General features: G+C 37.5%; 1 protein-coding gene across 6 annotated transcripts in view; it reads left to right on the top strand.

The window, feature by feature from the left end:
- The window catches only part of SPHKAP (SPHK1 interactor, AKAP domain containing), a 201,733-nt gene that overhangs the window by 43,561 nt on the left and 132,501 nt on the right, over positions 1-25,671 (top strand). For all 6 annotated transcript variants that reach the window (NM_030623.4, NM_001142644.2, XM_006712778.5 and 3 more), the window contains one exon: positions 6,042-6,147. In NM_030623.4, coding sequence (NP_085126.2) covers positions 6,042-6,147 — 106 coding nt within the window. The remainder of the gene's footprint in view (positions 1-6,041; positions 6,148-25,671) is intronic.

The following is a 25,671-nucleotide window of genomic DNA, read 5'->3' as shown; positions in this document are numbered from 1 at the left end:
ATTTGGATGTGAGAATTCTTTCTAAACTGACTGAGCAGGATTCTTCTCTACAGCTGGGCTCAGCAGGCCAAGGTCCAGGCCTAGCTGAGAAGATGTCTCAAAGGAGCTTGACTAAAGTTTGGTCAAGAAAAGAGTCTTTGTCAAGATTGGTTAGAAGAGGAAGATAGGAGACACTAACATCTCACGTGATGTTTAAAACAAGTCAGTTTTTGAAAAATTGACTTAAACCTCTGGGCTTCATGTAACAGGTAAATTACTTTGGGTAATTTAAGAGGGTAAAATAAGAACATTCACTTGAGAAAACTTTCATTTTGAACTGTGTGAAGGCAAATTTTAAAATCCTCTCAATTTTTGGTTGTCATATGTTGTTAAATTGATTTTAATGACAACATCTCAATTCCTTGCTCAAGATCTCTTCTGGTAGCTCTGAGTTTTAATTTTTTTTTCTAGTGTTGGGATTAAAGGATTTAATATAAAGCTCAAGAGTAGATATCCCTAATAGGGTTGAGACAATCAAATGAATTATAATTACTACATTTCACCAAGAGCATTCTTTAAGGAGGGAGAAGACAAGAGCGAATCTTATCTTTTAGAATCTGTTAAAATGGTTTAACTTTACACTGTGTTTACTTGACATTTTAGCAAGCATAACAGCAGAATCTCTTTTCATTAGAACTATCCTGGGAAATTCTTTAAATTATCTTCTCAGATGTGGCTTATCTCACCAACTGTCAGCACTGCAGAAAATTTAGCATTAAATTCAAACACTTGTTTGTGCCTAATTTTTGAGGTTAACCAGGATGCTCAGAAAGATAAGAACATACAACTTCAATAAGTGCTTGTTGGGCATCTCCCACTGACTGGCGCTGTCCTGTGTCCTAAGTGATCCCCTGCCCTTTTAGAACTTACAGCCTAAACTGGAAAGAGACAAATATTACAAAATTGTATGCCTTTTGGACAAGTGCTAAAACAAGATATGGCTCAGAGTGCTGTTGGAATACACAAGAAGAGTGTCTCACTTCCTGGGTTGGAGTGGGGTGGGAATATGTGGGTGGGAACGAGGCAGGAGCGTAAGTGTGTTTGTGTGTGCATGGGGCACTGGAGGTGTGTGGGAGAGGAGAAGTGGCCTCCTTGGCAGGGGGAAGAGAGAAGGGAGGTACCAGAGGTAATTTATAAGCTGAGACCCAAAGGACAGAGTAGGAATTATCAAGAAGGGAAGGTGGGGACTAGGTAGAATATTCCTAAATGAAGTAATATCATGAGGATATTACACCCAAGCCTCTTTATCTCTGTTTGCCCCATCTCTTTTACTCTGATCTATTTTTCTCAGTATCAGAATGGTGTCCCACAGGCAAATGGAAGGTGAATTCAATTTAATATGTTACGTAAGTGTTTCTCAAACTCTAATGGATGTATAAATTACCTGAGTTTAATGTCAATATGCAGATTCTGATTTAGTAATTCTGAGTTTCTGGGTGTCTAACAAGCTCCCAAGTGACACCAATGCTGCTGGTCCGTGGACCAAACTTTGCATTGCAATGTATAGACAGCTCAGTTTCCAGTAACTGGATCCATCTCTCTCTAGGGAAATAACTGGATATTCCCTAGGCTATTTTCACTATTGATGTGACCTACTTCTTCATACTGCATGAGTCACTGCAGTGGTAGCAGTACAGTGGCAACTTAGCATCTCATTTATTAATATATGAAATTGTTCTATAAAGAAAGCTGCTTTATGGAAGTCTGGTTTAAAATCACTACTTCAAATTTGGTTTTGTGCCTTCTTTCCCATGTTTATGTACATCCTCATTGAAACACACTTAACGGTTTCAGCATGAAACCAGTTTGAAAGGTTGTGCTTAATAAATATTGTCAACACTTGTCAAAATCAAAGGAAAATCTCCCAGGGAAGAATTTGCCGGCTTACCCATTAGGAGCAAGTTATAAAGCTGTACTGTATCTTGACAGCAATTCTTTTAATGTCAATTTCAGCTCATTTTAATAAATGTATGAGTTTCATATCACTGCCATCTCTGCCTCATCCTGTAACAGCAAATGTTCTGCTTCTCTAGAGATCACGGACAGCATCATTGTAAATACTCTAAAAATTCTTTCTCCATCCAAAAGGTATGGGAACAGACTGGGCCATGTTGTAAAGTCACCTATTGGAAATGCACACTCATATTACATGCTTTAAAACATAAGCCTACCTACATTTTCTTTGATATTAGGCATCATTAAAGTGATATACAATATGTTTCAGAAGATGCATTTGCTTTAAATATGGGTGTAGTGAAGTTGCATTACACTTGTCATCTAGTAATGCATTAATTTTTGCCCCACCATGTGACTCAACTTCCTCGTTTAATACTCACAACAATGAACAACTACATAGGTGCATATATATAGTTAAATTTATTTATTAATGCTATACAGGCTTAGCATTAGAACAAATGGCATCAGCCTTGCAGGCAAGCAAAAAAAAACTTTCTAATTCCCTTCCATAACTTCGTTTTCAACTAGGATTGTACAGTCACCTTAGAGGCAGAAAAACTTTCATACCAAGATATCTGTAGGTAGACTTGCCATTACTTCCTTCTATTAGATGAGCTCAGCAGTTCTTAAACTTTTGGGTGCATAAAAAGTACTGTAGCAGATTGTCTATCTAAAGCCATAAATAAAAGTGCTTCATGGGCAAATAAGTAGTTTTCAAGGCCGACCTTTTAGTTTTCTCTATTTTTACATCACCCCAATTTTGGACCTAACCATCTCTGCCCAATTTAGATGTGATTTCTTTCTAGAGTGACCAGAGGCTGTTGAAGTGCTTTTTTGCTTTTTTTTTTTTTTTTTTTGAGACAGAGTTTCACTCTTGTTGCCCAGGCTGGAGTGCAATGGCACGATCTCGGCCCACCACAACCTCTGCCTCCTGGGTTGAAGCGATTCTCCTGTCTCAGCCTCCTGAGTAGCTGGGATTACAGGCATGCACCACCATGCCCGGCTAATTTTGTATTTTTAGTAGAGATGGGGTTTCTCCATGTTGGTCAGGCTGGTCTCGAACTCCCGACCTCAGGTGATCCACCCACCTCAGCCTCCCAAAGTGCTGGGATTACAGGCGTGAGCCACTGCACCCGGCCTTGAAGTGGTCTTTCTACGACGTTTCATATCTGGAAGGAGCGGCCTGAGGTCTGTGTCAGCCTTTCTTCTCAGTTTGCCCATTTCCTACTCCTGCAGTCTCCAGCCCTGCGAAAAGTCATGGGAGATGTCTTAGTACTGGGCATAAGTCCAGGGATGGCCTGCATGAAAGGGATCTACTAGCCCATCAGAGCTGCCTGGAGGACACAGTAGCAACAGGACACAGAGCTGTGGGACCCTACATCCTGTCTCTCTGAACTGCACACAGGGCCTTGGCTGGCTCCTAGAAGGAGTCATATAACTTGACTTAGAGGTCAAGTTCAAAGTTAGCTTGGTGCATGGCCTTATCTTCCACATGTAAACTATTTAGAACCTAACAATAATAGCTGTTCGGCCTTTTGGTAAAAGCCAAACTGTCCTGTGGACAAGAAAGCATTCAAAGAGATGTCCACGCTTGGGTAAGTAAGTGGCAGCCTAAAAAGTTATAGGCCCACATTGTAGGAAACCTGTAAAGATAGGGGCTGAAAACTTAGGACATCTCTGATATTTCGCCAAGTGACTTCCAGAGCCATGAGGGAACCACACACTTTAGTCCAAACATGTCATTTATAAATGATGAGACTAAGACTCAGAAAGGCTAGGTGGCAGAATAGGTCAGGATTGGCAGCCAGGAAATGGAGCTAATTTCTTTTTCCTGCTTTCTTCCTCTGTTTCTTTCCTTCCTTCTTTATTTCTTTCCTTCCTTCCTTCCTTCCTTCCTCCCTCCCTCCTTCCCTTCCTTCCTTCCTCGCTCCCTCCCTCCTTCCTTCTGTCTTCCTCCCTCCCTTCTCTTCCTTTTCTTCCTCTTTCTTTCTCTTTCTCTTTCTTTCTCTCTCTCTCTCCCTTCCTTCCTTCCTTTCTTTACTTCTTTCTTCTTTCTCTCTCTTTTTCTTTCCTTCCTTCCTCTCTTCCTTCCTTCCTTTCTTTTATCTTTCCTCAGCTAAGCAAAGATAATATGGGTGTTATCCTTTCATGTGCATTAGGTTCACTCTAGCCCTCAAGTGACAATTGCTCAAAAAGTAATATATAAAAAATTTTAACAAAACAGATTTTATTTTAATTACTCTGTGCAGATTTTGCCTGAATCTATGATTTGTTACACAGCACAGTCAGTGGTCATTTTTTAAAATGTCATTCCATAATAATGGAAATGCCAAAAGGCTACACTAATGCCCTGTGTGACTTATGGCTAATTGAAAATTGATGAATTTAGTGCTTGAAACATGAGAGTTATAGGTTAGTTAGAAATAAATTGTTTATTTAACTGATCTTTTATTTAGCACTTGTTTTAAGAGAAACCATCTACATGTTGCATTGAAAATTTTATACAGAACTATCAGATTATGTTCCAAAAGTACATGTTAGTGAATTGTGCATGTTCTATGTGGTCAACAAGAACAAATATTAAACCAATAGACCTAAGCTATCAGTACATTTTAAAAGTCCAAATTATTATATTTTCAGAAGAAGAATATTTAGAAATGCATATAACATTTAGATAATTTTTTATATTTACATGAGGTTTAATTTTGAGTTTCCAGTCATATTATTTTAAAAGTTTGATAATAATTTTCATTTTTATCACGTGTTGAAAATGTAGAAGTAATTTATTTATTTATTTATTTATTTATTTATTTATTTATTTATTTGAGATGGAGTCTCACTCTGTGGCCCAGGCTGGAGTACAGTGGCACCATCTCAGCTCACTGCAACCTCCACCTCCTGGGTTCAAGCTATTCTCCTGCCTCAGCCTACCAAGTAGTTGGGACTACAGGCATGCACCACCATGCCCGGCTAATTTTTTGTATTTTAGGAGAGATGGAGTTTCACCGTGTTGCCCAGGCTGATCTCATACTCCTGAGCTCAGGCAATCCACCGGCCTCGGCCTCCGAAAGTGCTGGTATTACAGGCGTGAGCCACCATGCCCGGCCTTTTTTGTTTGTTTGTTTTTTGTTTTTTTGAGACAGGGTCTCACCCAGGCTGGAATGCAATAGCGGGATCTCAGCTCACTGCAACCTCCACCTCCCGGGTTCAAACGATTCTCATACCTCAGCCTCCTTTGTAGCTGGGATTACAGGCACATGCCACCACACCTGGCTTATTTTTTTTTTTGTATTTTTAGTAGAAACAGGGTTTCACCGTGTTGGCCAGGCTGGTCTCAAACTCCTAATCTCAAATGATCCGCCTGCCTCAGCTTCCCAAAGTGTTGTGATTACAGGCATGAGCCACCATGCTCAGCCAATTTTAAATATTTTTAAAATATTTATGCAGCTCTGTACGTAGTCAAGCCCATTAAGAAGATTTGACAGAGACAGGGGGAGGGATATAAGTCTATAATTTTGGAGATAGAGAATTTGAGGAGCTATCTCCAGCCGCAGGAATGGTAAAGACATTACCTGCATTTTCTAAAGTCCACATTTCTTTTTAATGGTACTATTCTGAGTCCAGATTAAAATTATATTTTACCTCCATTTTAAAAAATAAAATGAATATTTTGTTATGTGTTGGTGTTTTCAGAGCTGAATTAATGTGGCAATTGAGAAAAATTTATTTGGGTTTTAAAGCTGCTTGCTTAAGAGAAGATGCTAACAAGGCCAGTAGTCAGACAGATGCAATGATGTCCATCAAAGCACTGTGGAAGGCATTGGGCTGTACTTTCATGGTCACAGTAGGATCGTCTGTAGTGGTTCTGCCAATTACAAAAGTGTATGCAACAAAGAAATGTCCATTTCAGCAGGGGGATTTGCAGTGTTTAATGCAATCTGAAAAAGATGATTTTTGATACACCATGTTGTGATTTACTTATTATTTATTTCCAAATATAGATATGACTCACTGGAATGTGTTTTTGTGTTTTGGGTCACAAACAGCAACTTGGAGTCATCACGGATGTATGACGTTTTGGAACCGCAGCAGGGCAGAGGCTGTGGCAGCTCAGGAAGCGGCCCGGGGAACTCCATCACAGCCTGTAAGAAGGTAACCTTGCCTTACGCCACTTTCTTCTTGTCAGTTGAACTTGAATATTCATTTAATTCGAAATTTTAAGCACTCTTCCTAAAGTAGAAACAACAATAAAAACAAACAACAAAATGGCTCACGGTTTGCTTTCCCAAGTAAGCCTTGATAACATTAAAATTTTAATTCATGGAAATGATGAGAAAATTCAGGCATAGAAAATCATAAGCCTCCACTGCCATACTATCTCAACCCAAGACTTTTCACCAGTACTTCTTTTTAAACTTAGCCATGAATAACAGTTTCTTGCATCTCCTTTCAGAAAAATGTTCATGCATTTTGAATGACTCAACATATTATATTAAGTTACTAAATCTGTATCTAAGAAAACTTTAGGGCTGTTTTGCTTTTGATATTTCCATAAAACAAAGGGTATGCTGGGCTTATTTTATTAAGAAAAACAGAATTGTATTTTCTAGAACATAGACTTAAGAGCTGATATAAAAAAAAAAAAGAAACTATGCTCTAAGATACTTGCAAAAACCCTTGAACAACATAAAATCATAGAATTTAACTACCTCATTTTCCCAGCCAATCAAATCTAAGGCCCCAAAACTTGAAGTAGAATGTCCACGATCCTGGTTCCCCATCTAATGCTTTTGTCACTGTTTGCTGCTGAATTCCAGGGAAGTATATGTTTCTTCTCATCCCAATTCAGAAGCAATCACAGTGAGTTATTTCATTTATTGCAAAAATATTAAATTATAAAAATTCTTATAGATGTAAATTAACACAAATGCTGTTACTAAGCATATTGTTATGTGTATGTATTGTGTATATATGTAATATACATGATATACATGCATATATATCTACACATATATATGTGTAGAGATATATATATGTATACCCAGTTAAGCAGCATTAATAATTCTCTGCTTGTGTGACTTTTGTATAAGTTTCTAGTTTTCAAGTATTAGAGAAATTAATCTGTACTGAAAAATATACTTATTACAGAAAGGTAGAATTAAACATAATTTTACAAAAGTATTTCCATCCATTCATTCATAACCAAATGTGAAAAAACTGTCTAATTAATTAAGGATTCTTATTAACACATGTTGTATGATCTATTATTCTTTCTCCTCTTATAAATTCCTACAAAGGAATTGGTGCTATAAATTCCACTTTTTAATGCAGGGAACTAAGGCGCTATAATTCAAAATGATTTCAAGTTATTCATAAAAGAGCTAATAGTTTATAAAACTATTTATAAAAGAGGTCTCCAACCTTAGGTATACTCTGTTGAACTCTATAACTCCAAATTATAAATGCTTCATCATATGCTGTACATTTTACAGGGCTAAATAACTTTTAGCTTATTCTAATTTTTTAAAATACATATATGTTTATTGATACAAGGTTGTATGGTATTTAAAAGAAGAATTGAATCCAGACTGCCTGAATTTAACAGCCAGTTTCATCATTACTTGTGCGATCTTGAGCACATGACTTTACTTCATATCTCAATTTCCTCATGTGAAAAATGAAGAAAATAGTATTATGTATTTTATAAGATTGAAGCAAGGACTCAATGAATTAATAGATGTGAAATGTTTACAGCAGTGCTTGGCACACTTCATGCACTCAAAATAAAGATCTCTATCACTAATATTACTCTACAGAAGAATATTATCAGCAAGCATACAGTCAGAGAAAATAATTCCATATAGGTATTACCATTCCTAGAGAGTTAGGGATTTATGATCTGTTATCTCAGCTACAGTTATTTCCCTGGAAAAGAGGTGGTCACATTTATTTCTTTAAAAACAAAATACCATCTAGAAGCTACTGAACTGAAAGGGCTATTTGGGCCTGGATGTCTACTCAAAAAATTAAAACTGGTGCTGGGCACGGTCGCTCATGCCTGTAATCCCAGCACTTTGGGAGTACGAGGTGGGCGGATCACCTGAGGTCAGGAGTTCGAGACCAGCCTCACCAATATGGTGAAACTCCGTCTCTACTAAAATACAAAAGTTAGCTGGGCATGGTGGCAGGTGCCTGTAGTCCCAGCTACTCGGGCGGTTGAGACAAGAGAATTGCTTGAACCTGGGAGGTGGAGGTTGCAGTGAGCCAAGATCACGCCATTGTACTCCAGCCTGGGTGGCAGAGTAAGACTCAGTCTCAAAAAAAAAAAAAAAAGAAAAAAATTAAAACTAAAGCTAATCTTTAATTCTAAATGACTTCATTAGCATATATATATATTTGTGTGTGTATGCATATGTTTAAATGTATATATTTATACATAAATATATACATTTACAAATAAGAATGTAAAATTTTAACATAATCTGACTCATTTCACAATTATTTCTGGAATAACTACTGGGAAATTGAACCATATTGAATTGTCTTTTTTACAGATCACAAATGATCAAATATAGGCAATTTTGTATGGCCCGACCTAAATACATTCAAAACTCTGTTAGATCTTGGGGAGAAATACAAAGATAGATCATAAATGACCCTCACCCTTAATGAATTCACAGCATGGTTTGGGATATAATACTGGTTTCTCTTGTAAAAAGTCATATCATAATTCATAAGTTAAACTATTATGTGAGACAACAACAGGCATGCCTTGTTTTACTCTACTTCACATTATTGGACTTAGCAGATAATGCATTTTTTATAAAATGAAGGTTTATGTTAATCCTGCATCCAACAAGTCCATTGGAACCACTTTTCCAACAGAACGTGCTCACTTAGTGATTCTGTGTCACATTTTGGTAATTCTCTCAATATTTCAAACTTTTCATTATTATATCTATTGTGGTGATCTGTTACCAGTGATCTTCGACGTTACTGTGATAATTGTTTTGGAAGCCATGAACTGCACCCAAATAAGATGTTGAACTTAATCAATAAATGTATGTGCTCTGACTGCTCCAAGGACACACCATCTTGTTAGAGGTTAATGCAGCTGGTAACTTTAAGTGACGGCCAATGCTCATTTACTATTCCAAAAATCCTAGGGCCCCTATGTATTATGCTAAATCTACTACCTGGGTTCTATAAATGGAATAACAAAGCCTGGATTGCAGCACATCTGTTTACAGCATGGTTTACTGAATATTTTAAGCCCCCTTTTGAAGCCTACTGCTCATAAAAAAAGATTCCTATCAAAATATATTACTGCTCATTGACAATGAATCTGGTCACTTGAGATCTCTGGTGGAGATATACATGGAAATTAATAATGTTTTCATGCCTGCTAACACAACTTCCATTCTGCAGCCCATGAATCAAGGAGTAATTTTGATTTTCAAGTGTTAATGTTTAAGAACTGCATTTAATAAGGCTATAACTGTCATAGATAATCATTCCTTTGATGGATCTGGGCAAAGTAGATAGAAAATCTTCTAGAAAGGATTTACCATCCTAGATGCTATTAAGAACATTTATGGTTCATGGAAGAAGGTCAAAATATTAACATAAACATGAGTTTGAAAGTTGATTCCAACTCTCATGAATGACTGAAGGGTTCAATGCATGTGGTTGAAATAACAAGAAAACTAGAATTGGAAGTAGGGCCTGAAGAATGACTGAATTGCTGCAATCTCCTGATAGATCTTGAAGGAATGAGGAATTACTTCTTGTGGAAAGAAAGTGGTTTCTTGAGATGGACTCTACTCCTAGTGAAGATGCTGTGAACGTTTGTGAAATGACAACAAAGGATTCAGAATATTACGTAAACTTAATTGATAACACAGCAGCAAGTTTTGAGAGGGTTAACTCCAATTTTGAAAGTTCTCCTGTGGGTGAAATGCTATTGAATAGCATTGCATGATCCAGAGAAATCTTTCATGAAAATAGAGTTCATCAATGTGGCGACGTTCATTGTTGTCTTATTTTAAGAAATTGCAACAGCTACTGTAACCTTCAGCGTCCACCACCTTGATCAATTAGTAGCCATCAACCTGGAGACAAGACCTTTCACCAGCAAAAAGATTACAACTCGCTGAAGGCTCAGATGATTGCTAGCATTTTTTTTAGCTACAATGTATTTTTAATTAATCTACATACTTTTTTGGTTATAATGCTATTTTACACTTAATAGACTACAATATAGACATAACTTTTATATGCATTGGGAAACCAAAAATTTTGTGAGTCCCTTTATTGTGATATTTGCTCTGTTGTGGGGGTCTGCGACTGAATCCACAATATCTCTGAGATGTGCCTATATAAATCCATAGAAAACAGATATTGTTTTCATTAAAAGCTACAAGCCAAGATCATCCTTGGATCTGCAATAGACATCGGCAAGTTCAGCAGAAGGTACTCAGAAGGATGATCAACATTTGAATTGAGAAAGAGAATATACACCCAAACTTGGAAAGGGCTGCTGCAAATTAGTGAAGAAGTCAGTACCTTTCCTGGTAATATATTTTTTAATATTTATAGCACATTCATTTCATTTCAAATATTCTGTCAAGCTTACATAATAATTGCATTTAAAAGACAATTTAGTAACTGTGTATGCCACTGTGGGGCTGCCATTGCTTACCTTCTCTTCAAAAGAGTAGTTCACCAATGTTTTCTTCTTCTTTGTATCCAGAACAAAAGCACCCAATAAAAAGTCATTTAACATTGAATGGTTTTATGCCTTTATTAATTATTTTATTATTAAATAATATTGCAAGCTAATTCTTTACAATCTTGTTAATCACAGATTACAGAACAGAGAAAGTGAAGGTCTGTGTGTTAAATGCACATGCAATGTATGTTCTGTATAAAAAAGGCAAAAAGAACAAGGACAGTTACATCTGAGAAGTAGCAAGGCTGTCCTGATAAACCACCACTCTTCACAGTCAATCAGCCTTCACTGAGAGTAACACGGATAATTGAAATCTGTCGGCAATTCCCCAAACTCATTTCATGTAATCGTGTCATCTTTTTCCTCATCAAATCTTTTTATTAGAACTGACATATTGCTAAATTAACTGGTGAGAGAAATAAAACAAGGGTCAAGACAATGCATTAGTTGGATAATCAGCCTCTGAAAAAAATTGCAAATTGACTGAATTTCTTTCACATGTTTCATAATGAATCTCTAAGGGTTTCAGGAATCCTACCCAGACACAATTGCTTGTGTTCCTCAAATTTCCTCTGCAGTATTGGAGAAATATGGTCCCTGGAAGCTGCAGCTCTGAAAAAGCCATAGCATCAGGAAAGAGACTTTGGTGTGCTTAGGGAGGAACTCTTCAATATATATTTTTGGTAGTGAGAGATGGCCTTTCCCCAGAGCTAGGATGACCATACCATACAGTGACAATTGTCATATATTGTCCTGGTATTTTGTTAAAGACCCCCATTTTCTCTCAAAAGTGCTTTGGTATACAAAATAACTTATATGGTCATCCCATCTCTGGCTTCGGAATTATCTTTTCTCTCCCTCTTTTTTAAGAGCTAGGAAGGTTAGATAAATTCACACTGAGGTTTTAGTGATTGCTTAATGGAGTGGTGACAATTAAGTTATGTTTGCTACTACTATTACCCCCTCCCTTAACTGACATTGATAATTGAGCCTATTGAACCTGGACATGACCTCAGAATTCTACTTATTACAAAGCTCTAAACAAACACTTTCAATCCATCCAGGTTGGAAAGTCAGCTAACCTCTATGTCACCCTAATTAATGTGCACTGAGACACAGGGGCAGTTTTAACATATGCAACATGATTTCCCAAAATAATGCATTTAAAATGATAGAATTACAAAATATTATAAGAAAAAATGGAAAAGAGCTGCTGGGTAGGGAGCCCTAAAGTTCTCCCCCTAGAATCCCTTGAATTATATTTATCATAAGCATTGTCTGATGCCCCCATCTCATACAACCACTCCTTTTTGTTGTTGTTGTTGAGGCATATCACTCTGTTGCCCAGGCTGGTGTGCAGTTGCGTGATCTCAGCTCACTGCAACCTCTGCTTCTTGGGTTCAAGCGTTTCTCCTGCCTCAGCCTCCCAAGTAGCTGGGATTACAGGTGGACGCCATGACACCCAGCTAATTCTTTTTGTATTTTTAGTAGAGATGTGGTTTCACCATGTTGGCCAGGCTGTTCTCGAACTTCTGACCTCAAATGGTCCACCCGCCTCGGCCTCCCAAAGTGCTGGGATTACAGGCATGAACCACCATGCCCAACCCAACCACTCCTTTTTATAAGAAAAATACAACCACCATTACTAAACTGAATCTAAGGGATTTTACACTAAATGAGCTAAATGATTACAAGTGTCATTCTTTTATATTTGTTTAAAACTAGGTGAAAATTCTTCCTAGTCTCTTTATAATAAATAAAAAAACTGTTATCTCCAGGGCTGCGGTGGGATATTGTGTATCAAATCTGGACTTGGAATTGAGAGACTTGAATTAGATCCCAGGTTTCTCTTCTTACTATATGTGGTTAGGCCGGTGATGTAACCTGTCTGACTCAGATTCTCTAAGGTTAGTGTGATACTTACATACAAAAAGGTTTGTGTATGCCCTTGGCACATAATTGATGCTCAATGAATATTAGTTCATTCTAAATAAATAATCTTTTAGACAAGGGAAATCTTTATTTAAATGAAATTTAAAAATGGATGTAAATGTAGCATGCAATGTGCCTCCATTATATTGAATTTCTGTTAGATTTTCCTTTCCTCTGAAAGCATTATATTCAATGTCATATTTCCACAATAGCTGGGCATTTCCAATCTATGCTTCACTTAGACTGAAGGTTTGCTATTTAGGATATAGTGAAACCGAGTCTCTGCATAGGATTCATGTGAGGAAAAACTTGTTGGAGAAAAATCAACACCTGGAATATCCCTCTCTTTTCATGTCATGTTAATTAAATGCACCTTAAACTTGGACTTACCAAAGGTGGCAGACTGAAAACACTTCAGGTTCCCAGAGGCAGAGTCTGATATTAATATGATATCTGAACAGCTTTATGAAGTTTCAAGAGCGTTCTTGGTCATGATTCCCCCCTTTAAACAGACTTAAATTTGCTGTAAACAGTGGCAAAGATATACCTGAAGAATGACAGAATGGATGTCCCCGGATGTTTCATTTTATTCTGCAAAATACACTTTCATCTAAGCTCATATCTTTTTGATAAGATGTAATTAATGAAAGCAATTTAATTAATGTGTTCAGGCACAGGCATACAAATCGGAAGGCTTTTTCACAGTGTGATCCATATCTCTAGAGACTTTTTTCTTTTTATACTTTAAGTTTTAGGGTACATGTGCACAACGTGTGGGTTTGTTACATATGTATACATGTGCCATGTTGGTGTGCTGCACCCATTAACTCGTCATTTACATTAGGTATATCTCCTAATGCTATCTCTCCCCCCTCCCCCCACCCCACGACAGGCCCTCGTGTGTGATGTTCCCCTTCCTGTGTCCAAGTGTTCTCGTTGTTCAATTCCCACCTATGAGTGAGAACGTGTGGTGTTTGGTTTTTTGTCCTTGAGATAGTTTGCTGAGAGTGATGGTTTCCAGCTTCATCCATGTCCCTACAAAGGACATGAACTCATCATTTTTTATGGCTGCATAGTATTCCATGGTGTACATGTGCCACATTTTCTTAATCCAGTCTATCATTGTTGGACATTTGGGTTGGTTCCAAGTTTTGCTATTGTGAATAGTGCTACAACAAACATATGTGTGCATGTGTCCTTATAGCAGCATGATTTATAATCCTTTGGGTATATACCCAGTAATGGGATGGCTGGGTCAAATAGTATTTCTAGTTCTAGATCCCTGAGGAACTGCCACACTGACTTCCACAATGGTTGAACTAGTTGACAGTCCCATCAACAGTGTAAAAGTGTTCCTATTTCTCCACATCCTCTCCTGCACCTGTTGTTTCCTGACTTTTTAATGATTGCCATTCTAACTGGTGCAAGATGGTATCTCATCGTGGTTTTGATTTGCATTTCTCTGATGGCCAGTGATGATGAGCATTTTTTCATGTGTCTTTTGGCTGCATAAATATCTTCTTTTGAGAAGTGTTTGTTCATATCCTTTGCCCACTTTTTGATGGGGTTGTTTCATTTTTTTCTTGTAAATTTGTTTGAGTTCTCTGTAAATTCTGGATATTAGCCCTTTGTCAGATAAGTAGATTGCAAAAATTTTCTCCCATTAGGACTTCATATCTAAAACACAAAAAGCAATGGCAACAAAAGCCAAAATTGACGAATGGGATCTAATTAAACTAAAGAGCTTCTGCACAGCGAAACAAACTACCATCAGAGTGAACAGGCAACCTACAGAGACATTTTTATTAGTCAGAGTTTCATTGCTCTTGGACAAGAGCCCCACCAATAATTCTGAGAAGCTAAGAAGTACTTTCACTGTGTTTCAAAGCTAGATATTCACATGATGGAAAATAGATATAATATTCTGTATTTGTAGAAGCTGTTTCTCTCAAAGAAGCAAGGACTTTAAGTATAAATAAATAAAATTAAAGAAAGATCAGCATTATTGAGCTTATTCACATCTCTATAGAAGGAAGACACAAGAATTTCCCCCTGGAGTATAAACAACTCTCAAGTCTCAAACACTCTCTTCTGACCTAGCAGCCTGTCAGTGGTCTTCAGGCTGATTTCTGATACCAGAGAATGGCCTAGCCAGTTTTTGCAAAACAGCTGGATGTTCTGTTTTATCACCATTCTGCAAGAGTAATCAGAAGCATTGAAGAAATGGGGATATTTTTAAGAAAAAAATAGAGAATTATCCTACTAAAAGTGACATTTAAGGAAAGCTAATCTGATCGTTTTCAAGAGAATTCCTTAAAACAAAGACAGCTTGCAATCTGGGATCCCAGGAGGGGAATACTGGATGGGGATAGGGATAGCAGAGGAGAGGGGAGGTGGAACCAGTGTAGGGGTAGTGGATGGAGAGAAAAAGAAACCTGGGTGAGATACCTTTGGCAGTCAAGATCAGGAGGACTCTTTGGCCGTAAGGGCTGAACAGGAGAATGACTACTTAGGCTAAGATGTTTATGAGTGGTGGTACATCTGAGACCATTGGGAAGGGGGCACTGGGAGACAGAGAGGAGAAGCCATGAGTTCAGATTCAGCCCAGTTGCATCTACAGAGCCAGCCACCACATTCCCTCTGGAGGCGATTTCATTCACCATCTAAGAAAACCTCTGTATGCCCTGAGCCACATCAACATCAGGGTTGTACTGAGGACAGAATGCAAGTAATAAAACCTTTGATTAAGGGCTCATTTTCTCTTCCTTCAGCAAAAGCAGGTCAAGAATGGCTTCTCTCGCCTTAAAGGCAACCAGGTCCACGCAGAAACAGAGAGGTGGGACTGCCTGTGTTGCATGGACAGCTCATCCTCTAGAAGATGTCAATGTGGTGACCCTAGGTGGGAAAATTTTAAGCCACCAGTTATGGTTGTTTTGCAGTTTGAATACAATTCAGCTTCTTATTCCGAAGTCAGTCTGTTTGAGGACTTCTCTTCTGGACTCTGAACTCCACTCACTTCTCGTTGCCTCCAGCAATTTTTTCTGTACAGTGGTGACAGTCCAACATGCCAACCTTGTTCTGTTCTCTATAGCTCAGTTCCTTGAGCATCATTTTCACTGTGTGTGAAGAGCCCCTGGAAGGAACCTGCAGGCTGTTACTTTTTTCTTTTTAAAAAAAAATCAAAAGGGGGGACTCTGAAAACTTCAAATAGCTTAGAACATTTTGTGGAGTTGAGGCTGATGCTGCACTGCTGGAACTAGGCAAGTGATCTGTTTTTCTGAATTCCTGTGGTCATTCCCCCAGGCCTTTTATATATTGTGTATTAAATATATCTGTCCAGAAACACAACAAGTTTACATTGAATATATCTAATCTGGCATTAAAAATTCTCCTTTTTATCTTTCGGTACTTAAAAAAAAAGACTAGCCAACCCTGCTCCCTATCACTGGCCTCAAGGTCTCCTCTGTTTTCTTTCAGTCCCTCCTCTAAGAAAAGTTCCCAGCATAGTAGCCTGGAGTAGACACTGCATTCCCCACCTGTCCTCATAGCATCCATCTTTCTCATATCCTGCCAGACTCACCCTTCTGATTAAAGTGCCAGTTTTCAGTCCTGCCAGTGTCAAAGTGGGAAGGAATAACATGGCTCAGATAAATTGGAACATGTCTCTACAAGGGACCTTCTGGCTCATGATCCCTTACAATGAGCCCTCTCCTTTGCATGCTAACATTCACTAGGCACATCTCTGCCTTTTGAGAAGGGAACTCACTCTGAAAGACTCATATCAGGGCTCATACTCTCCAGGATGGAAAGCATCCAAGAAACAGATATATCCCTTCACAGATTATGTGCCCATCTGCATGCATCTTAAAAGGCAGTTGTTTCCTGTAGCTTTTTCCCAAGAAGAGAAGAGTCAGAGAAAAGAGAACTGTCTCTTTTTTATTTTATTTTATTATTTTATTTTGTCTTGCTCTGTCACCCAGCCTGGAATGCAGTAGCGTGATCATGGCTCACTGTGGCCTCGAACTCCTGGGCTCAAGTGATCCTCCCACCTCAGCCTCCTGAGTAGCTTGGACTATAGGTGCAAGGCACCATGCCTGGCTAATTTTTTGTTTTTATTATTTTGTAGAGACAGGGTTTCACAATATTGCTCAGATTGTTCTTGAACTCCTGGCCTCAAGTCATCCTCCTGCCTCGGCCTCTCAAAGTGCTGAGATTACAGGCCGGAGTCACTGCAGCCAGCCATATCACTTGTATTTTAATTGCCACAGTCCAAAGGCATGCACCAATACTCAAGAGATACGTGGCCATTAAATTCATTGTCCCTTTGTCTAGTGGCAAATTCTTCACTACCTGTACTTTGCATACCAACACAAAATAATCCAAAGTCAATGGAAGGCTTTCACGCACTTCATATATTTTCCTACATGTGTGTTTCTTCTTATATTTTCCTTCACTTAGCGTTAAAATCACATTCCCTTCACTGATAGTATAAATATTATAGCATTATGCTGACTCTAAATAACAATTAATCAGCTGTCCTCTATTTATGTGTCTAACTTGATTCTGCTTAAACCATTGCTGATCATTCATAAATTATACTATATTTGCATTTCCTGAGTGTATCTGTTTTTGTAACTCTTGCATTTTATACTTGAGACTCAAACGCAGTTACTGCATTCGTATGGATAAAGCTCTGATCAACTTTCAAAGCCTTCTTCAGCCAGCTGACATCTGTGTGATATGACAGAAGTAGTGTGGCTTGATACTTCTTTTCCAGTCCTCATCAGTTCCCAAGCTCTAACTAGTCCTCTGTACTCTTATTCTTTTGACAACATTAAGATACAGTGTAGCTTCCAGAATATGAGTAATTGAGTGGCACAAGAAAAATAGGGAGATATCTGAGACTGTGTGGAAGCTATGCAGGTCATTTCTTGCCATCTTAGGATGCGTTCTGGCCCAGGGTAACATACAAAGTCTCTAAATTACATATATGGGGACATAAATTCCGAAGAAAGGAGGGCTTTTGTTCATAAAGCATCTCCATTTTGTGCTCAAATTATATCCTTATGTGATATTTGTCAGAGATAAATGCTCCATAAAACAGTGTAATCCATATTTATTTACCAGAAGCAAACTTAGACCAGGTATATATTGCAAAAAGCATTTCATAGATAAGGACTCTCCTACTAGAAAAACACAATTAGTTTATCTGAAGGTCACTCATTTGTATGTTTATCATAAGATGACACGTTTACCTTTTCTCTTCTCTGGTAGTCTTCCCTCCTACCCCCCTTCACAGTAAAAGGAGAGAATGAATGGTAGGCTCACTAATAACCATTTCCTTCCCAACCCTTCTAACTAATCACACCTTTGATCTGGTAAATTCTTCTTGATAACGGAGAATCATTTTGTTCCAAGAGCTAAAAGAACTCCATTATTTTACAACACTTTTAAAATAATCAGTTACAAAATTTCTAAATTTTCTTAGGTGTCAATGGTATAATGCATGAATGCTTTACATCCAACCAAATAGAATTACAGAATATGTCATATGAATAATAAAATAATATTCATACTTTGGAAGCAATTTCTCCTTTTTGTCAAAGGAGGATAATACACAAGGACTCAGGCAGTCATCCAATAAAATCATCATTAAGAGAAAAATGTTATCCTAACATTTAATTAAACCTTCTGAGAAATGGAGACTAACTCACTCAGTTTCTGATGCCAAATTTTTTCTTTCACACAATAATTTTATTTCCATTTTCTTTTATTGTTTCTTCTTAGTAGTTCAGTGTGCTTTAAATAGGCATTTCACAGTTTCCCTGTGAAATAATGGAAAAGTATTTATATCCCAGAGTAGAAAACAAAAGACTATAGAATTCTCAGAAAGTTTGCTATGGCGTAAGCTAAATCAGCATGAAGTTAAATGTATAAAATTACATGAAACCTCCTGACTTCTAGTCCAGCATGAGAGAGAGAGAGAGAGAGAGAGAGTGTGTGTGTGTGTGTATACTAGGCTTTTAAACTATTATAAAATATTTAAGTCAGCAATTAAGCATTAATTAAGCCAGTGACTAAACTTTGCAAAATTATACTAAAAATGTTTTGTAGACTCTTAGAATGCTTCAAGACATTAAAGAATATCTGGCCCAGCTCAGCAATGAATGTCTTTTCAATGAAGGATAAAAGATTCTTTTCCCACTACTGGGAACCTTCATTTCCCATCACTTCCTCCACCACTCATTCTGCACCAGCCATTTACTGTCCTTCAAACACACCAGGCACACTCCTGCTATGAACGTTTGCCTTCCTCAGTAATCTCTGCCTGGGAGGCTGCTCTGCCCTCCGATGGGAGTGTGGCTGGCTTCTCACTTCATTCAGATCTCTGCTCAATGTCATCCTTAGAAAGGCCTGCCAAGATATACTTTACAAAATAGCACCCCTTATTTCCTTATCCCTTTAGTTATTTTCATAATAGTTATTTATTTTCATAGTAGTTTCATTATCTGACATATATGCTTATTTATAATTTATGTGATTATGACGTGTCCTCCTACAACAGAATGAAAAGGAAAATGGTTTTTTTGTTGTTGTTATTCTTGTTTTGTGCACCAATGCTCCAGTTAAATAAACAGTGCCTAGTACAGACAGCAGGTGCTTAACAAGTAGTCGAATGAAAGAACGAATGAAAACTTAATATGGATGGCATTATCCTTGTTTTATAATAGCATTCCAAAGCTAACATTAAATATAGAGTCTAACTAATACTTTTGAATATGATATGAGCCAATATGGAATCCATGCTTAATTTTTTATTTTAAAAGTATCTTGAAAAGAAAAAAGATATCTTAAAATGGAAAGTAAAACAAACCGCAAAGAAATACCACTATCACCTGTTAGAATTACTAAAATAAATGTAAAAGCAAAAATTGACAATACTGAGTACTGACAAGGATAGGGACAAGTTGGACTCTCATACCTCGCTGGTGGAAATGGAAAATGGTAAACCCACTTTAAAGGACATTTTTTCAGTTTCTTATAAATTTACCATATGACTTAGTAATTTCATTCTTGGGTACTTACCCAAGAAAAGCAAAACCTTAAATTTAGACATAAACCTGTAGGCAAATGTTTATAGCAGCTTTATTTATATTTGCCCCAAACTGAAACAACCCAAATTTCCTTCAGCTAGTGAATGGCTTAAAAAAAAAAAAAAAAAAAAAAACTGTGTATCTCCACAGAATGGAATGCTACTCAGCAATAAAAGAAAACAAGTGACTACTCATGCATATGATAATATAGACGAATCTCAAACTCATTATGCTAAGAGAAAGAAACAGGTCATAAAAGGCTACGTATTATAGGACTCCATCTGCATAACATTTTAGAAAAGGCAATATTTTAGGGATAAAAATCAAATCAATAAATTAGAATAAAGCTATAATATTGTGTAGGGATACAAATCAGATCAATAAATTAGAATAAAGCTAAAATATTGTCTTTTTATCTCTTAGTATGTCACAATTTTTTCCCTTAATTTGTCACTATTTTTCACTTATTCAGGTCCTCTTTTCAATGAACCAATAAAATTTTGCAATTTTCTTTATTCACCTTCTACAGAAAAAAAAAAAAAAAGGAAAGGAAAGAAATCAGATCAGTTGTTGCCAGGGGCTGGGACTTAGGATACCTTTAACTAAAAGGAGAAGGATGGATTTGAGGAAGGTGATGAAACTGTTCTATATCTTGATTCGGCTGCTGGTTACACAATCATGTGCATTTTTCAAAACTCATAGAACTTTACACATAAAAAGTGAATTCTGTAGGAATGTGGTATCTCTATCAAGAAAATGTTACCTGGAGTAAAGATGTCATTATCTTGCCAAGCAAATAGGTCAAAGTGTCTTAGTACTTGCCTTCATTCCAATCATCTCTTCTCCATTTTCACCATTCACTATTCAAGTCCAATGAGCCACTCACATCGCAGTCTTCTTGTGTAAGAAAATGTAACTGAGTGCCCTAGAAAGAGCCTAGAACTACAACAGGAGCCTGGAGAGTCTCCTCTGAGTGATGCCCATGCCTCTTCCAATGGGCTTCTCTGGCTCCCTTTATTTTACTGCTCCTCTAGCTTTTTCTCTCCACATCTCCAGCACACATTCATTAATAATTTGTGTCTCATTCGAAAGTTAACATCACACCGTCCAAAGTTATCATCAAGTATAGAGTCTAATAAATGTATTCAAGATATGTTGATAAGAGATTTTGATGTCTAACAGCAAGCAGCTGCTCTGTACCAATGGCATGTAGGGAGAAAAGTGTGGGACACAAATTGAATACGTATATACTTACATAATACTCATAGATAGTGGGAAGCATGCACCTTCCAATATTCTGAGGAAGAAATTTTGTTTGTATTACAAAGACTTTACAAGAACAGAGAAATATTTATATTGGGACAGGCTCAGTTTCAGTTATATCTTGAGGGTTGGGGAAGAACATTGATGAAAACTTCAGGGAGCAGGTGGAATGATATGAAAAAAATGTGTGCATCATAAAGGCTATATGGTAGAGCTGTTTATTAAACCTGTGGATTATAGCAGAGCATTTATGGAGGGAGATAATCTGAGACAAAGCCTAGGAAATGTCTAAATTGGGCAAAATGCAGTATCTTAAACATTGGAGTTTAGTCACTGTTTATCAAAAGATTAGCAAGAGAGAGCTGAATTAGAATCTGTTCTGTCTTGAATGCTAGCCTATTGTTTGGCAAAAAGCCCATAAAACTTTGGGCTCACCCACAGCAAATATTGTCCCTCTGTCTTGTTTTGCAAAACCTAGCTTAGTTTCTGACAGGATTAGAAGGTCCTCAGTCATATTTATTGGATCAGTTAGTCAATTGAAGTTAAAGTCTTATGAGAGAATTATATAACATTAGTAATAATATTAGTAATAACAATAGCTGCTCTTTGTGAGCACTTGAAATAATCAGATACTATGTGCATTCATTATTTCTAATGTCTGCAAAAGATTCCTCACTGTGAGTAGAAATACCACTCTCATTTTCGGGAAAACTGAGTCTCAAAGAAGTTAAGTGACTTGCCTTGCGTTGAACAGTTAAATAATGGAAGAATTGGAATTTGAAATCAGATTTGTCTTCAAAGCTTACATTTTTATTCTTTGTTTTGGTTTTAGTGAGCTAGATGGATTTCAGAGATAAGGAAGACAGAGAGATGAGAGAATTACAATACGAACACATAGGACCTTTGTGTGTGTCCAGCTTTCCCTAACTTCCTTTCTCAAGTATCATCTCTGTTTTAGTTTGTCAGAGCTGCTATCACAAAATACGTTAAACTGTGTAATCTGCAAACAACAGGAATTTATTGCTCACAGTTCTAGAGGCTGGAAAGTTCAAGATCAAGGTGACAGCAGATTCAGTGTCTGATGAAGGCTCATTCTCCATAGATGGTGCCTTTTTGCCATATCCTCACATGGGAGAAGGGCAAAAAGCTTTCAAGCCTTTTTTTATAAGGGCACTAATTCCATGCATGAGGGCAGAGCCCTTTTAACCTAATCACCTCCCAAAGGCCTTACCTCTTAATGCTAACACATTGGGGATTCGATTTTAACCTATGAGTTGGTGGGGTGGGTGGGGAGAGAGGAAGACACATTCAGACCATAACAATCCCCATCCCTTTTATTCCCTATCACTGCACTATGTTTATTTCTTCATGATACCCACCACAGTGTGTAATTAAGTGTGTACTTCAATGCTCCCTTATTTTCTGTTTGGCCCCCATGCCAGATATTAAGTTCCATAAATATGGAGACTGGTTACATATTACTCACTGTTGTATTACCTGGAGAGTAATCCATGGTATGCACTAAAAAATTGCTATTTTTTAAGTAATTGAAAGAACTTAAATAATTGCTAATTGTTAAGTAATTTGCTCTCCAAATTAAACTTTGGAGAGCAGACTGTAAGACAGGAAATAGATAAAGAGATGTTCCAGATAGCACCAAATTTTCAAGCCAGGGTAACTGGGAGAATTGTCCTGATATCAACTGCAAATAGGGAAGTCAGGAAGTCAGGTTTCTTTCAGGCACTGGAAGTGGGGAAGGAGGGAGTTTGTGTGTAGACATGAATAGTCCAAGGTGACAGCAAGAAATCCAAAAGTAATAACTAACAGGAGTGCGAAAAGCCAAGCTCTACAGAAAGGTTAAACCTGGAGCTACAGATCAGCAAGTCATCCCTCCAGGTGGTAATTAATTCCCTGAGACTCTGCAAACGATAAGGAGATAAGGAAAATGATTGATGGGAGTAGAAACACCAACACACTGATGAGCAAACTATAAGGAATACTTATATTTATGGCACCTGGGTAGGAAAAGAGAGACATGTCTTCTCCACCTGCCCTGATACATCCAGACAACACAAATCCACCTTTCAACGCTCTAGTCAAGGGCCAAGCCCTTTGCCATCCCCTCCTCCAGGGAGAACTGACCAGTCCATCCTTGGTGATAGCTGACCTGGATTGTCTTGGATCAAAGCACCAGATTTCCTTTATCACAGTCAGAGTGCTTGTTCTTTCTCTAGAAGAGTTATCGCTCTTAATATTCTCAGTGCTGACATCAAAAAAGCTCAATGAGCATTGGTTGACTGATATTGACTGAAGGAGAGTAGAGAAGTAGGAGAAGAAAAATGAGAATGGCACATCACAAATTATAAATAAAAGAAGAGGAATTGTCAAATGTTGTGAAGAGGCCAAGAAAATGTTCGATGAAACAGATATTGTCTAAATTTTCCTGCATTTCTGATACTAATAGCAACCACGTATCAATTGCATACTCTGTTGAGGCTAGCCCTTTACAAGCATGTTCTCATTTGATCCTTAGAATAAACTTCTGAAATGTCTTTAATTATCTTCATGTAATAGACGTAAAAACTAAGTCCCACAGAAGTTAAATGACTTGCCCAAGCTCATTCAGTAGGATGAAATGGGATTTAATTTCAGTTCTGCCTCCAAACCTCCAAGATTAATCACCAGTCACTGTCTTCTCCAATTTAAATTACTTAAAAAATATTAAGACATTGCTCAGTCATGTTTGGGGCTGTGTCCAAAGTCTATTTCTCCCTCTCTGTCTAATCAATACTAAATTTCTTCAACTTGGTTCTCTATATAAAAAGAAACGTAACTGTAATGTAGAGCAAAAGGATCTTCCTAACCTTATTTGCTGAACTCATGAAATTTGAAAAGAAAATGTGCCATTATTATTTCAAATTTGTGAACACACAAAACATTCATTATTAGCTCTTCATCTAAAATAAGTCCATAACTAAAAATAGCAGACAAATGAGCCATTGAGAGCCTGGTGAGTTTTTCTCTTTTCCTTCTCAGAAAGCAACTCTCTCAGCAGGGAGAATATATTCATAAAGCTTCAAAATTGTTGAATTCTCAAGCACATATTCTTCCTTCAAGCATTCTTCTTTTCCTAATGATTTGTCCAAGCCATGAAACTAAAAGCTTTTCACAGGCTAAAATTGCTTTATATATGATGCTAAGTGGTTTACTGAAGTCTGCATTTTTATTCTCTTTTACTTATTTGGCTCTCAATGCATACTATTTGAGAAAGGGAGAGGGAGGAGGAGCAAAAGAGGAAGGGAGGAGGAGACTTACATGGTATTTGGTATAGAAGTGGCCTTCAGATCATTTGCTTTAATTGTTTACCAAAGGCAAAGGGAGGCTGGGAGCTAGTGGACTTAACTACACAGTTAACAAGGAGTCAGGACTGGAATTCAAACCTCCTGAACACACCTGAGCTCAGAGAGAGAGAGAGAGAGAGAGAGAGAGAGAGAGAGAGAGAGAGAGATGGCTAAATGCATAGACTGGGATTTGGTAGAAGCTGAAAATGAGAAGCTATATAATTTCAATGGAACACTGCCTTAGTGGAGGCTCTAATGTCTGGGAGCCTGACTGAAATTCTCGTTCTGCAAAAACTAGATAAAGTATTGATCCCTCTAAGCCTGGGCAAAGGAAATAGTAACTATGATGATAGCTAATGCCTATCGGGCACTTAGGATGCACCAGGCACTGTTTTAAGAACCTTATCTATGTTAGCCTTGAGAATTTACCTCACAAGCCTAGAAATTTAATTCAGATAATAGTGTAGGTTAGGATGTTAGCCCAGACAGTTCTCAATAAATGTACTACTATTTGGTCAATAATTAAAGAATATAAATATTTAATAATGAATCATCTAAATGTTAATGAAATTTATGGAAAAATATATCTTATTTTAATTACTGATATAATCAGATTAACTAATTTTTAACGATGATAAAATTAAAATTTTAAAGTTGCATGTATGTGGCAAATGAATATTCTCACCAAACAAAGAAGCTCTCGTCCAAACATTTCTTCTTAAGCACGGCAAGATTTAGGTTTTATTTTAAATTCCAGTTCCTTATTCTGCTGCTTCCGTTTCTTCTAAAGCAAAGATGTGCTTTAGGAAAGATGCACAGTATCCCAGGGAAATGGAAGAGTCAAATGAGAAATCTTTCTAGAATTTTTCATTGAATGAGCAGGTCTCTAAAGCACTTCACATTTTCCTCACTTCTAGGATAGGACAGAGCAAGATCTTTGTATATTTTTAGTTATTTATTTTTAAAATAGGTTCAAAAAAAATCTTTAAAATATCTGCTGAGGACTCGGCAGATTAATCTGTCTGTGCACATTTCTCTGTTAGAGAAGTTAAGTGCAGGTGAAATCCCACAGGTAGCCAGCTCTTCTCCCAACTAGCCTGGTCTGCAGACAGCCCCTTTCATAGCTCTGGAATCTTCGCAGTGGGAGGTTTCAGACTGATGACTTTTGGCAAGTCCCCCTCTGCCTGTCTGTGTTTCACCACGAAAATGTACCCACCCAGCACACCAATTTTCTGAAAGCACCAAGTGAATTGCGTTTCGAACTCTGTCACCTTCCTAAGGCTGATACCGATAAGTGACAGTTGCTTTTCTCTGT

Source organism: Homo sapiens, chromosome 2 (assembly GCF_000001405.40).
Source record: "Homo sapiens chromosome 2, GRCh38.p14 Primary Assembly".
Taxonomy (NCBI): domain Eukaryota; kingdom Metazoa; phylum Chordata; class Mammalia; order Primates; family Hominidae; genus Homo; species Homo sapiens.
Note: the sequence above shows the minus strand (reverse complement) of the source record. Positions and strands in the feature narration are given on the sequence as shown.